At 40.8% G+C, this 24,776-nt stretch overlaps 1 protein-coding gene across 10 annotated transcripts in view, besides 1 other annotated feature; it reads right to left on the bottom strand.

Moving 5' to 3' along the window:
* The window catches only part of PXDNL (peroxidasin like), a 489,869-nt gene that overhangs the window by 74,095 nt on the left and 390,998 nt on the right, over positions 1-24,776 (bottom strand). For 8 of the 10 annotated variants that reach the window (XR_007060701.1, XM_047421364.1, XM_047421365.1 and 5 more), the window contains 3 exons: positions 19,479-19,587; positions 17,579-17,736; positions 14,396-15,890 (listed from right to left, as the gene is read on the bottom strand). Coding sequence is in view for 9 of the 10 variants with exons in the window: in XM_047421364.1 (XP_047277320.1) it covers positions 14,396-15,890; positions 17,579-17,736; positions 19,479-19,587 (1,762 nt within the window). In the remaining variant the exon portion in view is untranslated. Of the gene's footprint in view, positions 1-14,395; positions 15,891-16,873; positions 16,909-17,578; positions 17,737-19,478; positions 19,588-24,776 lie in introns of those variants that run through there. The other 2 variants (XM_047421369.1, XM_005251168.4) reach the window with 2 other exon arrangements.
* Positions 1,173-2,372: an enhancer, noted in NCBI's record as "CDK7 strongly-dependent group 2 enhancer chr8:52307404-52308603 (GRCh37/hg19 assembly coordinates)". NCBI's record gives its function as "activates an origin of replication core promoter dependent on BRD2, BRD4, P300/CBP, MED14 and CDK7 cofactors, with strong dependence on CDK7, by STARR-seq in HCT116 cells {active_cell/tissue: HCT116}" and the evidence as "EXISTENCE:reporter gene assay evidence [ECO:0000049][PMID:35650434]".

Consider the following 24,776-nt stretch of genomic DNA (forward strand, 5'->3'; position numbering starts at 1 on the left):
ATCAAGAGGGGAAGACCATTGTGCATTATCTGGGTGGGCCCAATGTAATCACAAGAGTTCTTAAAAGTGGAAAAGGGAATAGGAGAGTGAAAAGAAGGGGCCCCAGCGAAGGAGTGTGGGCAGCCTCTAGAAGGGGGAAAGACAGGGAAACAAATCATCCCATGAAGCCTCCTGAAAGGGCACAGCCCTGATTTTAGCCCAGCAAGACCAATTTCCGACTCCTGACCTCTGAAGTACAAGACATTAAATCTGTCTTTTTTTAAGGCATCTATTTTATGGTAATTCATTACAGCAGTCGCAGGAAATAATATAGTGGCTAAAAGCATCAACTTTGGAATCATATAGATTCAGATTAAAACCTGCATTCTCCAGTTGACAACTCCGTGTCCTTGGGAAAGTTAACACCAGCTCATGAGATAACAAAAGTGTTAATGAAAAGTGTGAATGTGCCCAGGGCATATACAGAAGAGATTTGCCTCAAACTATTCTATATATGTTGGAGCATGAATAATTATTTTAAAAAATAGCACTTCATGTAATAAATTGTCTTACAGAATGAGAGGTGATATATGTCACAAAACACTCCTTTTTGTGCAACAAACGCCAGCCAAATATGAAGGAAATATTATTACTATTAGAGTAAAGCTATCCCATCCATAAAACCTAAGAGGTTAACAAGAAAAATATGGCTTCCATTTGGGGACTTTTTTGATTTGACTGTCTCATATTGAGGTGAGAAAATTATAACTCTGAAGAGGAACAGTATCATTCCTAAGTCCTGAGACATATTAGAAAAACTCATCAAAGAATATCCTTCTTCAATCGTGCTTTGATTCTGTAACAGTAGGCATCGGCAAACTATTCTTAAAGGGTGGCTAGTATACCCTTGGACTTTTCAAGCCATACAATCTTTGTTCCAACTATTCCACTCTGCCAGGTAGTGGGACATAGGGAATGTTAAGTAAATGTGTCTGACTATGTAACAAACTATTCATAAGAACAACGGCCAGCCTGCATGCTGTGGTTTGCCAAACCCTGTGTTAAAGTGGCATCTTGACCTGAAGGATGTTCACTCTAACTAGCATTCATAGTGCCCTCTTTTATTCTCAAAAATGCCCTGGGGTACATAGCGCTGGTCCTGTGGCCACATAGGCCTAGAAGTCTCTGCTCTGCCCAGGATCCAACAAAGGCACTTGATTGTGGAATACAAGGTGTATTTATTCACCTTGGAAGACCCCAAGTGTAGATAGGGACTGTCCTAGACATGTGGTACAATGGTCATCCCACATCTGCCTCACATTTCACAAAGATGAGCACATTCAGCAACCCCATGAGATATAACCTGCTCAAAGGAAGGGAAAGGATGTGTCATGGGTCTGTATTTGCTGAGTAACTACCCAGAGGCAGAGTTCCCAGGAAGCAAGTGAAGATGACTCTGCAGAGCCCTAACCACAAGGGCCACTCCCAAGACCCTAGAGAGGGCCTGCAGGGTATTCACACAGTCACAAGTGTGCATAAAGTGTGTGTGCATATAAGCATCAGGCCCTCCTTGACTTTGTAGACACTATTCCAGATGCTGGGTGAACACACTCAACAAAAGAGCTCTCAGAGGACTGGGATGGGGCTCAACCAATTCAGAACTATCACCTGCTCACTCACCCTCCAGAAATCATCGATGCAGGTATGGTGTTCAATTCACTTGTGCTGCCTCTCCCTCAAATTCTGGTTTATAACAGTGACTTAATAAATGTCTGTGAAATGTAGATATCAATGCATTCAATGCAAGAGAAGAGGTAAGTCATTCTAAAAGAAAATATTTTTAAAAAATGGTTTAGGGAGTTAAAGAGATTAGAAAAAAGGGAATTCAAATTATGAGACAAAAGAAACAACCAATATTTTTTAAGTATATATTGAATTGAAAAATAAAGGGTGAAGCTGTGAAAGAGAGGATCTAGAAAGATTAAAAGATGATATAATTTGGTTTCAAAGAGGATACGAAATGTTATAGAGGAACTGAAAAAGCAGTAGAAGACTGGACACTGAGAAGAGATACATAGAAAAACAGGAAATAAATGGCTATGTTCCTTCTTGCTTGCTTGCTTTTGTTTTGGCAGAGGATAAAAGAGCTTTCCAAAACTTTAAAAAATCTATTACTGCCTAATGAGACCCATACTTAACTCCAATTTACTCTCAGGGCAGTTAGCCCACCACCCCCAACTCTGCCAGCAGAACTCCACTGAGTAATGGGACTGTCACAGGACAATCCCACAGCTCCCCACTGCTCCTTTCTTGTTTTTCTAAAGGAAGATTATCTAAGATTATAGCTAATTTATGACTACTTACACCTCTCTTGCTACAGGTACTGACACTAATGGATCTTAGCTGCACTTGGCTGAGAAATAAATCGGTTCTATAGATCGGCAATAAACACAGCTACAGCAGGGAACGCAGCTTCAGCAGTCCACCTATGCCTGCGAGAAGAAAGGGATGGGCTAGACGGGGAATGGGAATTTGACTGCAGATTCATGTGTGTATGATGTGTGATTTGGATGGATGGCTAAACTGAGTTTTTTCTCTTTCCACACGCCAACGCCAGATACCTGGTTGCAGGCCTCTGGCTGCAGGAACCATATGTGCTGCTGGATGGGGTAGTGCAGCACAGGGACGTGGGAAGACCCACTGTCCCCAGAGGCCTTCCCGACCAGAGTGCAGAGCGCCTGTGTCTCCACATGACTCAGCAATGACTGTGGCCTGAGAATGCCTGGCTGCACAGAAACATCAATCTGGGATTTAAAAATAAACAGGCTGGGTGCAGTGGCTCATGCCTGTAATCCCAGCACTTTGGGAGGCCAAGGCAGGTGGATCACCTGAGGTCGGGAGTTCCAGACCAGCCTGACCAACATGGAGAAACTCCATCTCTACTAAAAATACAAAAATTAGCCGGGCATAGTGGTGCATGCCTGTAATCCCAGATACTCGGGAGGCTGAGGGCAGGAGAAACGCTTGAACGTGGGAGGCAAAGGTTGAGGTGAGCTGAGATTGCACCATTGCATTCCAGCCTGGGCAACAAGAATGAAACTCCGTCTCAAAAATAACGGTAATAATAATAATAATAAACAAATAAACCATTCATACTGTAGTCCAGATATTCTTTCCAATCAGCCCTGCTACAAGATCTTGTGTTGGAAGCAATTTTCAAGCTTTTCCTCATGGAAGGAAAAAAGGACTTACTTATATTTTTAGCCTCTAAACAGTCACTTTGCACTTGAAACCTGTAAACTTATTTGCTATACTTTATTTTTGAATATTTTGATGGCTGTCTCTGCCATAGCCACTCAACTGTGGTCTTCACACGTCTGTCATAAATGAACCCATATATACATTAGGTCTGATACAAAACCAAAATATGTTATTAAGGGTTTGGGCAGATATATAAAAAGTTGAACACATTTTAGTTTACTGCTGTTCTTAAAGTGATTACCAACTGCGGACCATTCTTGTACTTATGAAATAAAATATAAGCATGCCTGCTAACAATTCCAATTTTAGTACCTTAGCTAGAAATGGGTTTTGAATCAGTTCTAATGTTTATATTCATGTTACAATTATGACCAAATTATACTATTACTTTTAAAGATTTTGGAACTGTTGTTTAAATTTCTGGTTTGCTATTTAGGTATGTTAAAAATGCAAATTGTTTACATAGTTCAAATCCCTAATCTAAGGCCACAGGAAATATAATACCTCAAAAACAAAAAACTAAACCAACAAAACTTATGAGATCCATCCATTAATCCTTCTGCTTGTTTAACAAATACTAAGAATCAGGCATTGTTAGACATTTAAGGAGATAAGCCATACTCCTCCAGAATGTTCACATTTTAATATGGAGGTTGCACACATAAATAGTTGCAATGTACTGTAAGTATTTTAATATTAATAAGTGCAAAGTCCTGCAATATTACTAAAGAAAAAATAGCTCTGCAGGGGTAACAATATTAGGTGCCATAGAAAAGAAGAAATGCATTGCAGGAGGACATAAAGAGAGCTGCTGTGAACACTCAGGTCTAAGTAGGGAGAGGCCTTTTTTTTTATTATTATACTTTAAGTTCTAGGGTACATGTGCACAACGTGCATGTTTGTTACATATGTATACATGTGCCATGTTGGTGTGCTGCACCCATTAACTCGTCTTTTAGCATTACATATATCTCCTAATGCTATCCCTCCCCCCTCCACCCACCCCACAACAGGCCCCGGTGTGAAGACACATAGTTAATTATGGTAAAAATCTTTCATTTAAACAATTGCTCAGGAGCTAAAATTGTAGGGGAAAAATATAATTTAGAATGAATGTAAGCTTCTGTTTCTGGCTATGGTGTGATGGAAAGGAGACTAGTTTTCCCATTATAAACAATCACAAAAGAGGACAACATGTGTGAGCCCACAGCTTCCAAACACTGGACAACAAGCAGCCTAAGACTGGGGAGCCTGAGAAGAGGGAAACTCATGACAGTGGCCTCAGTTTCCCTTCGGGAGAAATCTCGCCCACACTGCACAGGGCACTAGAATCCCAGCACAGCAAGGTGCAGCTGCACTCGAGGCTGCCATCCCAGTTCCGGAAAGCTGAAGCAGCTGGGAACAGGTGGCGGGACCTGCGGTGGGGAGTGGGCAGACATTTACCTTGGGGCCCCCCACAGTCCTGGGGATGGCTGGCTGACACCTGAGCAAGAGGAACTGCATGAGGTATACACAGGGCAACTGCTGCAGGAAGTTGAATCAGAACACGGTGATGGCTGTAACACCTCAGTAATACCCAGAGAGCAGCCAGACAGCAGCTTGCCAAGTCTTAACAGAATAACTTCTATCCTTATAAGGATAAACTCTACTCAACAGAGCTGAAAACCAAGCCCTGCCAAGATTAGCATGGCCAACAGCATTTGGAAGTTCAGCCACCCCACATCAGCGGAGCTTAGGCAACATTCCTGGGGTTTCTACATTCCCACCCAAATGAAGCATAAAGCAAAACCTATGCAAATGCAAGGCGGAATCACAGTAATTGATATGCATTTAGAAATTACGAGACAGAGAAGGAAGCAAAATTGGAATTCACACTTAGGAAAGTAATGAACCCCTGAATGATGGCTGTGATGTTTAATTTATCAGAAAAGGACATTAAAGCCACTATTATACATGTATTTAACAAATTAAAGAAGGTATGCTCTTATTGAATTAACATTTAAACAAATGTAGAAAGAAAATTAAGAATCATAAAAATGTAAATTCTAGAACTAGTACAATAATCAAAATGAAAATTTCACTTGATATATATAAGAGGAGATTGAAGATGACAGTAGAAAGTCTGTGAACTAGCAAGAAAAATCAATAGAATATTTCCAACCAGAAGAACAGACAGGAGAAAAAAATTAAGCAAATATAAAGTCTTCTACACTGCCAGTGGGAGTGAATAATATTACAACCACTTTGGGTAACAATTTGGCAGTTTCTTATAAAGTTAAATACAGAGTTACTAAGTGACCTAGAAATTATACTGTTAGGTTTTTTATTCAAGAAAAATGGAATCATAGGCCCACAAAAAGACGTGCATGTAAGAGTTCATCGCAGTTATTCAGAAGAGATAAATACGGGAAACAACCCAAATGGCTGCTTCAAATGGAAGAGTAAACAAATATTTGTATATTCATACAAACAATACCACTCACAATGAACAAAATATATGATCTACAGGTGCACTTCACAATATAGGTGAACTCCAAAAACATTCCAAGCAAAATAAGCTTAAAACAATACATACGGTGTGATTCAATTTATGTGAAGTTCTAGAAGAGACAAAATGAATGTACAGTGAGAGGAATCCAATATGTGGTTGCTGGGAAGGGTCTGGAAGAGAAGACAGACTGCAAAGACCATGAGCTATGCTTCTGGAATGATGACAATGCTCTTTGTCTTCACTGGGGTAATGATTACAGAGGTATGAATATTGTTCAAAGGCATCAAATTGTACACTTAAAATGTGTGCATTGTACCACATGCCACTTTTGATACATGATGTTAACTGAAAATTTAGTTTAGTTTAGTCAGATTTTGGGGATTTAAAGACGAAATGCATTAAATTGCATTCAGATGTATACTCTGGTGGTAAAATAGAATTTAGAAGTGAAATAAAGCATAAAGTTTTCTATAAAATATTTGCTATGATTTTGTATGGCATATAATGAGGAACAACTGAATGTCTTTATTTCTGTAAGTGTTAGATTTTGATAATATAATGGTAAAGATTTCTTCAGTTGAATATTTATAATTGTAAAATAATCTATCATAGTACTAAACAATTTTCAAAGGCAGGAATAAAAAGCAGATTCTAAAAGTGAAGAATTTACATACAGGTTGTGAGTATCCCTTATCCAGCTTGGGATCAGCAATGTTTCAGATTTAGAATCTTTTCAGATTTGGGAATACATGCACATACATAATGAGATATCATGGGAATGGAACCCAACTCTAAACACCAAATTCATTTATGTTTCACACACACCTTAAAAGATATATTGCAGCTGAAGGGGGCTGTGGAAGTCTTTTTTCCCTTGAGGATGCTTTTGTGCACCTGTTTTAACTGAAACTGGTCACATGAGTTCAGGATGGAATTTTCCACTTGTGGCATCATGATAGTACTAAAAAATTTTGGATTTTTGATTTTTGAGCATTTCAGGAATTTTGAATTTTTGGATTGGTGATGCTCAACCTGTTTATAACTTCTAAAACGCGTTACTAAGACTCACCACTGTCTACACAACTGATGTTAAATTAATGTCATACTTTAAGGCGTTAAATTATTTTGCACTCTGTTTTTGCTAGACAAATAGAGCTGCACGCCTTCTAAGAAATGGACCTTGGAGGATAATTGACTGACCACCTTATTTTTAATATGGCCTTGTCACTTTTTATTTGCTCAGGCATGTGTGTCTTCTGTGTTGCAGGTCTATAGTGTTGACAGAATGAGTTTTGATTGGTTAAGTGTGTGCATTTTTAACTTTTTGAAATTGGGGTTAAGGTCATGTAAGAATCAAATGTGTTGTTCTCTGTTGTAACTTCTCATTCCTTTGTACAAAAGATTATAATACATCATAGTTCATTGATGCCACTCAATAGTTGATGAAAAAATAAATTGGTAGGAATAAGTGTAAAAATCTAGTTTTCACCTAAGAAAATTTGTCTTGTCAAAGGTGTTCAAGCAAAGAATAATTTTCAAATCAAAGCCTCTTGGAAAATTAAAATGAGTCTCACCCAAGCATGTCCCACTTCCCCTAATGAAATATCTAGAGAGCAGCTGCTTTGTGCTAGGCCCTGGACTGAACTCTGGGGATTCAAAGATAAATTAGACAATTTATTTGCAACCAAGGAGTACATACTCTTGGAACCTGTCATTCAACTAATATGTTCTCTAGAAAAGCAGAAATACTGTGCAATGAAAATGACCAGGGGTAGCAAGGCTCTAAAACTGGCATTTAGAGTCAAACAACAGGACTTGGTCTAATTGTACAATACCCTTATAAAAGTATTGTTTAGAAAAAAAATGTGATACTCAAAACCCTTGTGCTAGCTTTACCATAAAAGACTATGTAAACCTGGGAGCTAGGAGAGAGCCTTCATCAGTGCACCATATGCATAAGTAAGGAGATAGGAGATCTGAGGGAGAAGGGAATAAAACGCTGAACAGAAAGCAGCAGAGACTAGAGATGAAGACAAGACGCTGGTCCTCCAGAGGCCCAGCTATGTTTGAGCAGCTCAGTACCCTTCTGTGACGTAAAGAACAAAGTCACTGCCTCCAAATGGGATAGGAGAAAAGGACTGGTCCTTGACTAAGAGCGCATGGTAGTCACAAATCTGGGGGCTGCTTTTTGGCCAAGAGAGCAGCCATTTGAAGGCATATGGGAGAGAAGCACCCTTTTCCTATGTCTGAGATGCCAGCGAGGAAGAGACACTACATCAGTGAAGGAATAGGGGGCACCCAGGAATCTGTGAGTCTTCTGAAAATACACACAGATTTGGGTCTATTTTTCTCTCTTTGCTGTATCTTCCTGCAAAAGGAGGTTCATAGATTCTACTAGATTTGGGAAATGGTCTTACATGAAATGGTCAACAATCACTGTTTTACAGCAATTAAAGTTGCTCCTGGGCCTACTAAACACTCAGGAAAGGTGACGGGGTGGTGTCGATGCAAGGTCTTTAAAGGCTGACATGAATATGAAAGTTGATAAATATTTAGCAGAGGAATGACAGCTGAACATGCAGAAGAAGGAAAAGCCAAGCCCACAGGAAAGGGGCAACCTTTTCGGGCAAAGGAAGACAAAGACAGAGAATGCAAGTTTTTGGGAAGGAATCATGCGGTTTGATCTCCTGAAACCCAAGAGTAGAAAGAGGAAAGAAATTAAGAATTTTTTGTTAATTTGTCTATTTTTAATATAGAGTGAAGCTATCATAAAATAGGTACATATACTGAATACAAGTTACTTAATTGGTGAAATATGAGCTATTCTTTTAAGGAGCGGAGGCAGGGCTGGGCACGATGGCTCACATCTGTAATCCCAGTACTTTGGGAGGCTGAAGCAGATCACATGTGGTCAGGAGTTTGAGACCGGCCTGGCTAACATGGTGAGACCCAATCTCTACCAAATATACAACCAGGCATGGTGGCATGCACCTGTAATCCCAGCTACTCGGGAGGCTGAGGCAGGAGAATCACTTGAATCTTGGAGGTGGACGCTGCAGCAAGCCGAGATCGCACCACTGCACTCCAGCGTGGGTGACAGAGAAAGACTCCGTCTCAAAATAAATAAATAAATAAAGCCGAGGCAGTTACACATCCCTGTGATTATGAGTGACAAATAAACTTATACTTACTCAAAACCAAAAGTAACCGTATCCACAAAAAATTACACACAGTATTATATTTTCAAAAGAGGATTCAAAAATAGCTTTCAAAATGGCCCATGGCCTCTCTGGAAATTTATGTTCACCATTCAGTGAATAACTGATCTTCACCTTCTGCTCATTAAATGTTTTAGAAACAATAAAAAGAAACAGAGTGGCCAGGCGTGGTGTAATCACGCCTGTAATCCCAGCACTTTGGGAGGCTGAGGCGGGTGGATCACGAGGTCAGGAGATCGAGACCATCCTGGCTAACATGGTAAAACCCCGTCTCTACTAAAAATACACACACACACACACACACACACACACACACAAAATTAGCCGGGCGAGGTGGCCGGCGCCTATAGTCCCAGCTACTGGGGAGGCTGAGGCAGGAGAATGGCGTGAACCCGGGAGGTGGAGCTTGCAGTAAGCTGAGATCGCCACTGCACTTCAGCCTAGGCGATAGAGCCAAACTCCCTCTCCAAAAAAAAAAAAAAAGAAAAAGAAAAAGAAAAAAAAAGAAACAGTGTGATTCTTGAGAGCAAGAATAATCTTATAAAAAGAAAATAATTCATTTTCATATGATCCTGGAATAAAATAAGCTCTTTAAAAAATAATAAAACACTTTTGACCAAGAAAAAAATGAAAAAAAGATTTCCTGAGCTCTTGGTACTGAAGGAGGCAGGATATTTGTACATGTCACAAATCCTTCTGGCAAATGCTGTGGTCTGTGGATCTGACAGCAGTGAACTCTGAGGAGTAGATGCCAAGGAACCACACCCAGCCCCCACCCACCTCTCCCGGAACTCCTCTGCTGTCCTCCCCTCTAAGGGGCAGTGTTCCATGTACAATTCCACTTAGAAAAAAGTGTCAGCTTCCCTGGCGCATCTTAATGTTTTGGGGGTGAGATGAGTCCGATGCTAATTCTAGGATTGGACTCCTTGGTGCAGCAAGACCCATGGCTTTACACGTCTCACACATATCACACGGGCCCTGGTGCCAGTCTTTACCCTACTTCTCATGTATCTCAAATGTCCTTCTTGGCACTCACAGCCAGGTCTTTCACAGACAGCTGCCATCTGCTTTAGGATTGGGTTTCCGCACCGCTATGATCTAAATGTGTCTACCCAAAATTCAAATGTGGAAGCTTCATCTCCGATGTTATGGTATTAATAAGCGGGGCCTTAGGTGGTGATTAGGTCATGATGTGTTCGGAATTGGTGAGGTCTCGGTCTCACTGACTTCAAGAATGAACTTGCGGACCCTCACGGTGAGTGTTACAGGTCTTAAAGGTGGTGTGTCCGGAGTTTGTTCCTTCTGATGTTCGGACGTGTTCAGAGTTTCTTCCTTCTGGTGGGTTCGTGGTCTCACTGGCTTCAAGAGTGAAATTGCAGACCTTCGCAGTGAGTGTTACAGCTCTTAAGGCCACATGTCTGGAGTTACTAGATCCTCCTGTCTGGGCTTGTTCATTCTTCCTGGTGGGTTCATGGTCTCGCTGGCCTCAGGAATGAAGCTGCATACCCTTGGGGTGAGTGTTTCAGCTCATAAAGGCAGTGTGAACCCAAAGAGTAAGCAGCAGCAATATTTATCGCAAAGAGCGAAAGAACAAAGCTTCCACACTGTCGAAAGAGACCGGAGTGGATTGCCACTGTTGGCTCAGGCAGCCTGCTTTTATTCCCTTATCTGGCTCCACCCACATCCTGCTGATTGGTCCATTTTACAGAGAGCTGATTGGTCTGGTTTGACAGGGTGCTGATTGGTGTGTTTACAATCCCTGAGCTAGACACAGAGTCCTGATTGGTGCATTTATAATCCCCTAGCTAGACATAAAAGTTCTCCAAGTCCCCACCAGATTAGCCACATACAGAGTGCTGATTGGTGCATTTACAAACCTTGAGCTAGACACAGAGTGCTGATTGGTGTGTTTACAATCCCATAGCTAGACATAAAGGTTCTCCAAGTCCCCACCAGATTAGCCAGGTACAGAGTGCTAATTGGTGCATTCACAAACCTTGCGCTAGACACAGGGTGCTGATTGGTGCATTTACAAACCTTGAGCTAGACACAGAGTGCTGATTGGTGTATCTACAATCCCTTAGCTAGACATAAAGGTCCTCCAAGTCCCCACTAGACTCAGGAGCCCAGCTGGCTTCACCCAGTGGATCCTGCACCAGGGTGGCAGGCAGAGCTGCCCACCAGTCCCACGCAGTGCGCCGGCACTCCTCAGCCCTTGGGCGGTCGATGGGACTGGGTGCCCCAGAGCAGGGGACGGTGATCGTCAGGGAGGCTCGGGCTGCACAGGAGCCCACGGCAAGGGTTGGGGGAGGCTCGGGCATGGTGGGCTGCAGGTCCGAGTCCTGCCCCGCAGGGAGGCAGCTGAGGCCCTGGGAGAATTCGAGCTCAGCACCGGGACCCAGCGCACCCTCCGCAGCTGCTGGCCCGGGTGCTAAGCCCCTCACTGCCTGGGGCCGGCAGCCCCGGCCAGCCACTGGGAGTGCGGGGCCCACTGAGCCCACGCCCACCCAGAACTGGCGCTGGCCCGCCCGCGCCTCTCCTTCCACACCTCCTGGCAAGCAGAGGGAGCCGGCTTCCGCCTGGGCCAGCCCAGAAAGGGGCTCCCACAGTGCAACCGCGGGGTGAAGGGCTCCTCAACAGCGGCCTGAGTGGGTACCGAGGCCGAGGAGGTGCCCAGAGCGAGGGATTGCTGCGAGGGCTGCCAGCATGCCGTCACCTCTCAATGAGGGTGAAGTCCTCATTAAAGTTATTAATGAATTATAAAAGAGGCTTCACACGACATTTGCTCCTTTTGTCTTCCCTCCACTTGGCCATGTGAGGATGCGGGGCTCAAGATACATCTTAGAGGCAGAGACAAGGGCCTCCACCCAGTGGACTGAAGTGATTTAAAAACAAAGTCCTAAAACCACACTTGTAAATTAATACAAAAAGGAAAAGAAGTAATAAGATAAAGAAATACTTTGTAAATTAAACTACTTAAAGCTATATCATCTTCAGCAGCTCCTGAGAAATTGCAATCTACATATTTGAGAACTGACCGTAAAAACCATTTTATTTTGCACTCATAGTTGAATGAGTATATGTTTCATATTTTACAAATTTGCCGTTAATGAAAGGGGAAAGTCAGGCATCTGTGACAGCCTAAGCAAAAAGCATCTGGCTTCTACTGACTTCTGGCAACCCACCCATGCCAGTCAGCAATGCTCTCTCCTCCTCTGGCTGATGCCAAGCACCAGGCTGCATAGAGTTCCACTAGTTCAAACATTCTCCCAGGCAAGGATAATGACTCAATGTTTAGGCTGCACAGACTCTTGGGGCCAATATCCCATAGGCATGAAAGGAACAAATAGAAAGGCTACTGAGTGAATGCTCAATGAAGTCTCCCCAGCTGCTGTCCGTCTGAAAGGCCACTCATACTTCACATCAGCCACTGTAAGGATGGACAGTGGCCGACAGTGGAGGCTAACACAGCTAACACTAGAACCACATGATTTAGGAGGAATTTGGGACAGGAAATTTGTAAGAAGAAACATTCCGGGTACTCTAATTTGTGGTGAATTTACAAGTTAGCTGCCAATTGAGAAGTGAGACTCAAATTGCACAAGACGTCATACCCCTAACTTTTTCCAATCCAGATAATCTACCCACAGGAAACATTTAAAATTCTGATAGGATTGCATACATGGCCACAAGCCTATCTGTGCCATCTTTGAGCTTCTCCTGGATGACTCTAGCAGCTGTTGGATTCTTGGCTCCTATGCTAGTCTCTCCTCCTTGCAATACACCTTCCAGATGCCTGCCAGTTACCATGTCAGGGAAGAGTCTCTCTTCAGGTCACTCTCTTGCTTTAGAGTTAAATACGGAGTGAAGATCAGATTCCCTTGCATGGCACACAGCCTCTTTAAAACCCGTCCCCTATTACCTCTTTGTTCTCTCCTCCTGACACTCAACCCCATGCCTTCCTGCTTCCAGTCCCTCACCCCAGATGCCACCTGGTGTTCCCCCATCATCTAGCCTCTTACACTTAAACTTCTAAGACCAGATCAAATGACATCTCTTATCAGTGGCTTGCTGTGAGCCTTCCATTTCTCAGCTCTGTGTGCTCACAGCATTTAATCGCGACTTCTACCAAGCCCTTTCCACACTGGTCACAGCAGCTCCCCGGCTCCCCCGCACGCTGTCAGGCTTTCCCTGGTGGATGCTGTTCAGTCATCTCGGCTCCCACGCCTACCACAGGGCTACATCTGAGCAGATGTGCAATATCGTAATGTCCCTGACAACTGAAATGATCATGTTATAATAAAACATCTACGGCTAACATTTATTGATTGCCTGTGATGCAGGAGGAATGGGGCCAAGTATCTGATGCATTTTATGTAATTTAATCTTTAAACAATTCTGAGAAGAAGGTGCTACTTTCTCATTTTATAGGTATCCTGAGATTGAAAACTGTTTACTTTTCACAGGCTCTCGGTACTATTGGGTGGTAGAACAGAGATTTAAACCAGGTCTTCGTGAATCCAAATCAATGTCCTTTCCAAAAGAAATGTGCAAATTCAATCTGCAGGGTACTCTGATTTCTTTTAAATACATTACACATTTTCACAGTTTGAGATTCCACATATGTGACAAATTCTATTGACACAGAAGTATTTATAGCCTTAGTTTTGCAAAGAAAGGCCTAATCTTGACAATTGGCTATAGAACTTATAATTTTAAACTTCTTTGAAATATTTCACAGAAATATACCTTAAAATATTAATAAATATTAGTCTCCTATATTTAACCTACTACAGACAAAACTTCTTTGTGAAACTGTTTTTAAAAAAATATTTTTAAAGGAGGAATGTTGGTGACCATGAGGAACAGTTGAATCTCATTCCTGGAAATGTATACTTGTAGTTTTAATGAAACTTCAAATCCCGTATGTAGAAAAAGTTAACAGTAATACTTTACCGAAAGACATTAAGGATGCAGTGAAAAAGCCCTAACTTAAATTCCGACCATGAATTTAGAACTACCACAAAAAATAATTTGTTTTTATTATCACTACTTTTCTCTCCCTAAGAAGGCCTATGTGATCGGCCAGTTTATTTTATGAATTTATATCGAATGTATGGCCTCATATCAACAAAAGGGCCTTGCTTGGATTACCGCAGAACACGAATGGGCTAGATATGCTTACCTCACCTCTCCTAACTGAAATGCAAGTTAATAGGAGGCAGCAATATTTGCATTTCCAAGGAGGTGGATAGAAAAAGGAGCAGAAAGGGGGATTTCGGTTTCTGGTGAATCCTTCCTTTAATATTAAACCTCTCCAACAATAACAAGTACTAAAAGCTCTGCAGCACCCCCAGGGAACCAAATTCCAGCCACACAAAATGACCTTTAACACTTTTACCTCTCCTAAGAAATGTTTAAATCCAGGCAGCATTTGCATACTTACTTTCTCAGTTTTTGTCTAATCTCTGAATCTTTAATTTCATTTTGAAGATCCTCAAAGTTCTTAACTGAAGTCAAATTACAGAAAACTCTGAAGTCAACATATGGTGGGATCCCGTGGTCTCTACCCCTTTGAATGATGGTGGCAGCCGAATCCACGGCCGCAGAATAAGCCGCGGAGAAGAGCCTCTGGGTCAGCTCAGGACTGAGAAGGTAGGAGGGTGCCCGCCATTTAGCAGCCACGCCAAACAGCCCCCGGAGAACCGGGTCTATCCCACCTTCCTTGATTATTCTGGACGGTGAAAAGAGCGCTTTATGGAACGGAAGGTGGCCTTCGGAAATTTCACCTAAGGTGGCATTCAGTCGGTAAAGAATAGGATTGATTAATGTGTGGCCAAATCTAAAGGCTGCAGTAGCAAAAGAGTTAATGATGCCTGCATTCACGTTGGGGTTGTAGCCTCGGTAACCCCTCAGCATCCTAGTGCCAGGGTCCCCCAGGACCTTAGGCAGCCAGTGGCTGTAGGTGATGTGCTGCAGCTCCGCGCCCACGATCTTCCTGGCTTCCTGGTAAACCGTGTTTCCCTCCCAGTGGGGGTTCAGGGCGGACAGCTCCGTGGCCATCCTGTTGTGTTCCCGGAACCACAGGGTGTGCATGGCGGCCAGAGCCAGATGCTCGTTGGCCCGGTGGTCCCCGGCCAGGAAACAGGGGCTCTCCTGCTCCTGTCGCGCGCACTCGGTGGGTGGGCCTGTAGAAAAGGGCAATAAGGGCTTTCCGGAGGGAGGCCAAGGAAAGCCTGTCTTCAGGAGACCCCGAGGCACCGAAGGGTCTCTGAGAGCCTGGGATTCCCGCTCCGAGCTCCCGTAAACGTTGGAGCCATCGATGTAGGCTGTTTGCTGGTTGATCTGCTCTCGTGCATAGACTGAATCCACCGTCGCAGAGGGACGGCCGCTGGCACACGCGGGGCTGGAGCGCGCGAAGAGCATGCAGGGCGCGTGGGTGCCCCGGGGGTCGGCGTGCCGGGTGTTCATGGGGAAACAAGGAGGGTCGTTGGTGCAGACGGAGCTGCACGGCCGCCCATCCGAGAAGCGGGCTGTGCTCAGCGCAGGCACTGTGTGGTCCAAGTCGTGCTCTAGAAACCAGCCCCAGTGCATGAGCATGCGCGTGTAGCTGTGGTCGGGGGTGACGGCCGCCGCGCGCGCCCACACTGTGGCGACCAGCCGGGGCGGCGGGAGGGGCTGGCGGGAGCCCACAGGAAGGCCGAGCCCGCGGGGCGCGCGGATGCCGTCCCGGTAGGCTGGCTGCAGCAGGCGCGCGAAGGCGGTCAGCGCCGCGCCCCACGTGGGCTGCTGCAGGTTGTTGCACGTGCCGTCGTGGGCGCGGTACTTCGCATGGAAACACCGGTTGGAGCAGTTTGGCAGAGGCCTGCGAGCTGTGCATCCAGATAAATTGGCGATGAGGCTGAGGGAGCGCGGGGACACCAAGTCATTGTACCGGAATTCTGAAAGGCAAGCGGCGAAAGCCGTGAGGAGGGCGGGCCTGGGAGGGCGCGGGCAACTTGGAACTCCAGATGCTGCGGGAACCACCTCCCACCCCGCCCGCCCTGAGTGAAAAGAGGCCTTTCTTACTTCCAAAAACATTTCGTTAGCTCACAACAAAAGGGGGGATCATTCTATAACACTAAAAGATGTTTCCAGAAGATCCCGGGATTACTTTTGAGCGTTCATCCTGTAAACAATGGCTAGCTGCTAGAAGGAGCAAAATGGAAGGAGAGCAGATGCCAGCCAGACACTAAAAGATGTTTCCAGAAGACCCGGGATTACTTTTGTGCTGTTCATCCTGTAAACAATGGCTAGCTGCTAGAAGAAGCAAAATGGAAAGAGAACAGGTGCCAGCCAGCTCCTAACTTCTACTCTGTGCCTTTACAAGAACGATGTTGGCAAGGATTTGTTCTTCCACATCCCAGAATTGTTTTGTTGATTTTTGTTTGTTTCATTTCAGAATTTTTTCTCTCAAGTTTTGTGCTTCTAGAGAACAAGGTCAAAGAAATATCAATATGGATCATGTGAATATTAACCCACATGATACTTGACAAGGAGGGATTAAGCAACAACTTTCTGAACTACTATAAGCTGTCATTCCCTGGCAAACGGGCAAAATAATAAGGGACATGCTTGGAGCTCTACCTTTTAACAGGGCTTAAACTTCCAGCATTCTCCCAGTGCTACAAAGATTGTTCACTAATCATACTAAAAGTTACCATCCTTATTTAATCTTCAGAAACTGGCAAGCAATAATGGGACCATTTGCACTTTATCCATGTTAGCCAGTCCCTGGCTGGATCCTGAGATATCTTAATCTTGGGTATCTGGATATTTTGCCTCAGGAAGCTTTGAAAACCCATCATACTGGGTGACCAGGGACAGTCAAATGCCAGTTAGTTAGAGAAATTGTACAGAGCTCTAAGGGCTGAGGCAAGCTCACAGATAGGCCTTCTGCACCACGTCTCGGTTGATTTCCTAAAGGAGAATAAAGAAAGGGTAAGCCAATAGAAATTGATGCTGTACTCACAGCACAAATAGTATATAGCAAAGAATCACATTCACTTATTTCATTTGAAAGAGAACAACTTAGAAAATCTGAAAGCTTTCTATATCATCTCATTTGACATCTACTAACTAGATGTCTGGTTTTAAAAAGAAATACACAAGAACTTGGATATACCAAAAAACAAAACAACAACAACAAAAAAACAAAAATCAAAAGAACTGGGGAGGTATTATAAATATTATAAGTGGTAGAAGAAATTTCAAGTAAATTCACTGAATGATTCAGGTGATTGAAAGGATAAGTGGAAGAATATCCCCCTGGTAATAAAGCATTTCTCTATAAGACACAATAATATCTTTTACATTTGAAACACAAGTTCACTTAATGTAGGTTCCCTAGATTTGTTCTCTATACATATAACTTAAAAGTTGAGACAAGTTTGAATATATATTTATCATCCTTACTTTGGAATTACAGTTCCTATGAGAAACATCTGCATTTATTTGGTAAAAGTAGTGAGTAAATTAATTTCTAAATCCCATGATATTCTGGAGATTAAAAGTTCAGTGTCCTTTGCTAAGGTGGTGGTCAGTTTTTCTGTGGGCAGTAGGCTGAGAATAAAATGGCTTTGTGGCTGACCTTTGCCTTCCAAGTCCACAGTGAGCCCCTGCTTCACACGTTCCCGTATCAGCTGCAGCGTGTGCTCAAAAATCTCCCCTGCTCTTGCCATTTCCACAATCAGTGGGTCACGCGGGTAATGAAATTGAGCCAGCAGGTCACTGGAGGTGTGAGGTTTTCTGCAAATGACAAAACACATGATTCTTTACAAGGCAAAACAGCAGAGTCCATGAAGCTTGCAAATACTGTGCATTTAAAAAGGCATTTCCCAAACATTCGAGAAGAATGAAAGCTCCACCACTACAATAGAGGCTCTACAGAGGAGCTGTGGGTTCTTTTCCTATTTTGCTAACAACTTATTCCAAATGTTAGTCCCAGTGCTGAACTCAAAAATATATATTTTTAATGAATGGATGATTTAAACAATAGTTTTAGGAAACAACATCTATGGTGGGGTTCTAAACTGGGGGGGTCGGTTGATGAATGGATTATAGGAGGCTCAGTAAACCTTCTGAAGTACTATGCAATACTCTCGGTCTGCAGGACTTGGCATTTTGTGTCTTCTCTTTCCCTGAGTGTAATCTCCTAGAAATTCCTCCTTGCCTTTAGAATCCTCCTCAGGCCTCACTCTCCCTGTAGAGTTTCACTGAGAGCTCTGACAAGCTATCACTCCATCTTCTCTAGTACTCCTGTATCCTTAAATATGTGTCTTATATACTCAGTAAAATGTACTTGAATTGCTGACATATTGTCTCCTCTGCTAAAGAAAGAACTAGGTTGCTGATGAGATGTTGACCTATTATTTATCTTGTATCCCAAATACCAAGCCCACTGACCAGCACATAATAGCAGTTTATGCACATTTGTAGAACTGAACCAAATATGTTAAAAAGAAATTTAAAAGCACTGAGAATGTGAAGCAAACTGTTTTAGAGACTTTGATCAACTGAGGCACATCTCATCCTCTATGTCTTGAATCTTAACTACTTGAGGTCACAGAATAATAATAATGATGCTAATAGTTCACTTTGGTTAAGCACTTTCTATTCTCCAGGCACTGTTGAAGCACTTTTTACATATTATCTTATTTTTTCTTCCTAGCAAGCACATCCATGAAGTAGATCCTACTGTTATCCCAACTTTAGAGAGCAAGGAGCCTGAGGTACAAAGATGTTAAGTCACTTGCTCAAGGTCACCCAGACAGAAAGTAATGAAGTGAGGAATCAGGAAGAGAATATAAATCTAAATCGGCTGCGTGGTTCTAGAACACACATGCATGATCACAAAGCCATTCTATTTATGGATGTGCAGGAAGCCAGAAGAGACTCAATTTGGGATTTTACGATGTCCCTTTTTGACCACTAACTGCAAATACTGAATATATACTTTATCCGATTATGATGAAATCAACAATCATTTTTTTGTTAATGCATCCTGATGTTACAAACACAGAGAAGTTAATGGGATTGGAAGGTTTCACTAGTCCATGAACATTCCAATTCAAATTAAAATAATGTAAAATGCCAAATATCCTAAACATAATGTTTGTCGTAGGCTCCCAGTTTATACCAAGGTGTGTTCAACTTGATAATCATTCTCAATTCACACATTGCAGGAGCACTGCATCTGACACTGTTTGGTGGATGCTGAGGTAACCCAGCCCATTGCCTAGTGTCTATTGTCAGCCTGTATAGCATGGACCTTTGGCATAAATTAATGCCATTTAGATTCTATGGGGAAGAAGTTTCCCCTTTTTTAGGGTGAACTGATAATGATGGCTAGCCCAGATGGGGATGCATACACAAGGACTAAAGAAAGCACTCTATTGCATATGCACTATAATGTGACTTATGGAGATGATAAAAACTAAGTAGAACAGAAATGAAAACAAGGTTTCAATCTGTGTAAAATAAATTCTTACTGTGAAAACAAATGTCTTCGTGTGGAGTTAATTGCACTGTCAACTCTCTGTACAGCATCAAGAATGGAAGATTCAACAAAGTCATCGCCAGCTTGTCTACCCTGTATAGCTTTGAAAATCAATTCCATGATTAAAAATATCAAACAGACCTTGAAGTTAGGCATGATATTATATGAATGGCATTACATTTTTAAATGTAATGCCATTACATTTAAAACCTCTAAGACAATGAAAATGTTATACAATATCTACATGATAATGCCCATTGCAGAGAGGTAGGTAATTATCTTGAAGCAAGGCTTCATCTAACAATAATAATGTTATTTAGGGAATTAAAGTATTCCAAAATCTAGTAAAGCTATGTAAAATATTTCCTTTTGAACAATGCTGATTCACACAGGATCCAAGTATGTCAGCAATTTGTCATCTTGGAGAAGGTATGAAATACCTATCTCTTCAGCCACCTTGCTTTAATGTTAAACATTAAAGCAAAGTAAATATTCTCCCATCCCATAGAGGCTTCTTAAGGCAAGAATTGAACTCTCAATAAGATTTATGGGAAAATTAATTTATGCTTTTTTTATAGCTCTCTAACATGTGAAAATACTGCAAAGTTGAATCCTGTAGACAAAGGAAGCTATTTACTTACAGCTGATCATTTCCAGGCTATTGAATCTTCTTCAAATAATGGTTTAAGAAGTTTAACAGTAAAGGAACAAATACTAAATAAAAATAATTACGAATGAATATTTACAGTTCATATCAGAGAAATAATCAGCACAGTATCTAGTTCATTTTTGAGATACTAAAAGTACAGTAACATTTTATGTGACACAGGCAATGAAAACAATAACTTTTTGGCACTGCTAAATATTGAAAGCAAAAGTCAATATAGCTTTAAATGTTGAGTTTGAAAATAATGTCATTTAGGGGAAGTAAAAGTGATTAAAAACTTGAATAGTAATAGGAAGGTATTGTATGTATTATCCAAAAGAACTCCCAATGAAGTAACTAATATAAGCTTAAGTCAAGGTGTTACCACAATATAGTATGATAGATATATACATATTATATGTATATATCTATATATGTGTTTCTATACATATTTAAGCATATATATTTGACAATAGATGGGCCCATATAGCATTCTCCATCTAGATATTACAGGAAAATTCCTGTATATTATGACCATCTATATAGCCTAGATTTTATTGTCTTAAAAAGACCACCAACATAAAATAATTTTAAGAAAAAAAATACCAATGGTATGGAAATATTGTAAGGAAAGAATAAAATTCAGGACCATACTGAAAATTCTTCTTGGCAAACTAGATTATGTGCAGCAATTCTGAGTAAGTAGGGTGGCTCCACTGTCAAGTCATTGCAGCCTTTATGATGACCACAAGATTGAGGCTCTAAATGGCCAATGTTGCCTTTCCTAGTCCAAAAAATACATGGGATTGATTTAGCTAAAGATAATTGAAAGAAAAAAAGACAAAAATTGATTAATTCAATTGGATGAAATTAACAATTTCAAGAACATGAACAAAATAACTAATAAATGACACAAATAGCTGACAATATTTGCAATCTCAAACTCTGAGGCAGAAATGATATTCTGTTTCATACAAAGAAACGTTATAATACACTAAGAAACAAATATATAGGCAAGTTATAAAAGAGGAAAGCTCAAAAGTTAATAAGGATATAACATGCTCAAAATCACTTGTAACCTCAGAAATGAAAAAGTGTCAATGAACTACCATTTTATGCTTATTCTAGCAAAAAATAAAAAGCTGATTAAAGCCAAATTTTGACAGGAGTGAGAGTTCCTATAAATCCTCAGGCAGACTGATAGGACTGTGGAATTGACACCTATTTTGGGGATTGTATTTAGAGCCTTCTTTGGCGGGGGGGAGATGGCAGTTGTTACTTTGTAATATTGCATATGCACACATCCTCTCATCCAGTAATTTCAATCCCATGCATATATGCAGAAAAATTATAATTGAAATCCACAAGGGTATGTATGAGAATGTTTATTGCAACTTTGTGCAGTAGGAATTGTAGAAAATTGGTTGTACAACAGTGGAAGTATGGGTGTATTAGTCTGTTCTCGCATTGCTATAAAGAACTACCTGAGACTGTGTAATTTACAAAGAAAAGAGGTTTAATTGGCTTACAGTTCCTCGGGCTGTACAGGAAGGATCACTGGGGAGGCCTTAGGAAGCTTACAGTAGTGGTAGATGAAGAGGAAGGAAGCACATGTTACATGGCTGGAACAGGAGAGAGAGCAAAGGGAGAGAGGCTACACAATTTTAAACAACCAGATCTCATGAGAATTCACTCATTATCACAAGAACAGCAAGAGGGAAACTCACCCCAATCACCTCCCACCAGGCCCCTCCTCCAACACTGGGGATTACAACTGGACATGAGATATGGACAGGGACACAAATCTAAACCATACCAGTGTGCAAGGAAAATGTGGTGGATGTTCAACGTGGAATGTCATGCAACAGTTAGAATTGTCTGGGCATACATGGATGGACACTTAAAAGATGCTTAAGGTAAAAATTCGAAAACTAGAAAGAGATAACCATAAAATGATCGAATTAAAATATATAATACTTAGATGTAGTATAGTTGTTACATATATAGCAATGATGATGAAAGCAGAGTATGGACATAAAAGGTAATGAATTAATTAGTTAACCAATTGAGGAATCAATCAATATAATTACTGTGATTATAAGAAAACAATACTATAAACATAGCTACATTAGTCTGCTTATGTGTTCAAAAAAAGTCAGTAGGAATGAGCCTACTTAATTTACTTTTATCTTAGAAATAAAGAAACTAAAATCAATCAAATCAATCTGCACTGGCATGTATGACTTGATTATTTAATCAACATATTAGCTTTTTCTTTGTCCCTTTTACTCCTTCACTTTTGGACCTCAAATATAGAAAGCAGCATTAATTACATGCTTCTGTTTGTGACAAGTATTGTCATTGGGCTACTGCATCTGGGACAAAATATGTTATCAAAGGTCTACGTGGATTTGGAAGTAAGAAGATTGTGTGCTAGGACTGAGTTACCGTACAGGACATAGTGCTATTGAGATGCCAAAACTTAAAAGGCTATTCACAATGGTGGACAGAAGTTGATATAAAGTATAAATTTCAGGAAACCATCATTTAATATGTGAATGTGAATTGGATTGATGTTTTTGCTTTTATTCTGTTTATAAAATTGTTTTGCTGTTATAGTTGTATAAGATTTACAAGCATAGGGATTTTGCAGCACTTGTCTTCATCTGTTAGCTCATCCATTAAATGGAGAGAGAAAGCCTTGCTCAGCACAGAGCTCAGGGCTGATGTGTTTATCAGATAGCAAAGATACGCAAAATTCTTTTAAAACTGCATGTTGCAATGCACATATAAGGTGGCTTTCACGATTAATGTGTTTTAAAACCTATAGGCAATCTGTATCCTCACATGATTATCAATTGATACTGTGTTATACTGTCAATATGATTTGCTATTTATTTATATGAATCAGAAGTCAACCAGTGTGTAAAAGTGAAAAGGAGAAGAAAATTTTAAAAATGGAATTGTATGCAAATATTTTTTGAAATATTTAAGCTCTAAACTACACAAATAGAAAACACATAAAGTTGTTCAGATTCTTAAAAGCACATTAAATACGTGATATAGTCAAACAAAAACATTCTTGATAATAAAGCTTTCTCGTTTTTATGTCAGTTATGATTTTTTAAGTTTATGTGGTTTAAGAGTAAACTAAAACTAACTCTTTTATTATTCATTTGATTTCAGTGTTGTTTTGTTTGATTTGGTACAAACTGCAAAAATATTTTTATAAATTTCTTTAGAACAGCACTGTGTTATGTAAGCAAATCCAATGTGTTGGGGACACATTAGAATTAATCAATACTGTTGTAGTTATTTGTCTCAAAAATCATCTCAGTTAATGGCTTAAGGAATAGAACAATCAGAAAATTCTGAGCATATTCTCCATCTTTTTATGCAAAATTTTACAGGAGTAGAGGGACAACTAGATCATTTTTCTTTGTTAAGTCTCAGGGTAATAAAAATGAGAAAAAGGCTTCAGTATATTTACAAAATAAACATGTTTAAAGTTATTGATGCACATCTATTTGCAATCCTATCCCTGCATCTATGAGGCTATCACTACTATTGATGGTAAAATCCAATGGTAATATTGAGTCCTTTCAGAAAAGGGGGAGCTTAGGCCACGTGGCCACTCACTGCTCTGCATGAAAGGCCTGGCTCTGGGTGACTTGGGGACTGGACCTAGAGATGGGATGCAGAAACAAAACAGCTGTGCTCCTCTGTCACCCTTGCTAAAAAATGCCTAGACCTCAATAAAGGCTGAGATTTTTTCACAATTACCAATTGGGTTTTGAGTATTTTTTATCCTCCCCCTTTTTCCCCCTGGGGAAGAAAATTAGCAGATAATGTAACTATCGTAACCAAATAGGTCTTATCATACTCAGTCTTTCCCTATAAAGAGTGATGCTAAAACTGACACATGTGAGGGCTGTCCCAGGACACCAGAGACAGGTCCACATTACCATACACACTGATGGTAATGACTGCCTTTATGAAATCATTTTGTTTAAACAGCAGAGAATCTGTCTTACTCATCACTTTGCATCATTAAACATGGAAACCAATTCATTGCCCTGGAGAGCTCCACTGTTTTTTCAGAGACTGGAAAAGGAAAGGCACCATCTACTTTGTTTAAGGTTATGGTGCTTAGATTAAGACGTTTTATTTGTTTTCTTTATAATGTTTAAACTATTCAAACACTACAACACCAAAAATCTGGAAATGCTACTTACACATATTAAAATGTATATGTTAAAATTTTGAGAGCATTTATCTCAGGATAGAAGTATGTGGTCACTGTATATTTTATGTATAAAATGGATGAGAAATGTGTTACCTTTAACATAAAGCTAATACAAACATACGTGTATGTATACTAGGTAGATGCTGTTGTTTACAAAAATATTTCCCCACTCATTGTATTATTAAAGTTTGACAAAAATAAAATAGAAAACAAAATTAAAAGCTTGGCAAGATAGCAAAGATTGTCATGTATCTCTTAATTAGTTTGTAAACTAATTTATACCCTATTCAGAGTAAATTTTAAAATGTAGTAAAATAGCAATTTAAAACTCTTCAGTTACCAATTTCACTTCATTAATGTTTGAATAAATATAACTAATGAAAATATTTTGATACTTT

This window comes from Homo sapiens, chromosome 8 (genome assembly GCF_000001405.40).
Source record: "Homo sapiens chromosome 8, GRCh38.p14 Primary Assembly".
NCBI lineage: Eukaryota > Metazoa > Chordata > Mammalia > Primates > Hominidae > Homo > Homo sapiens.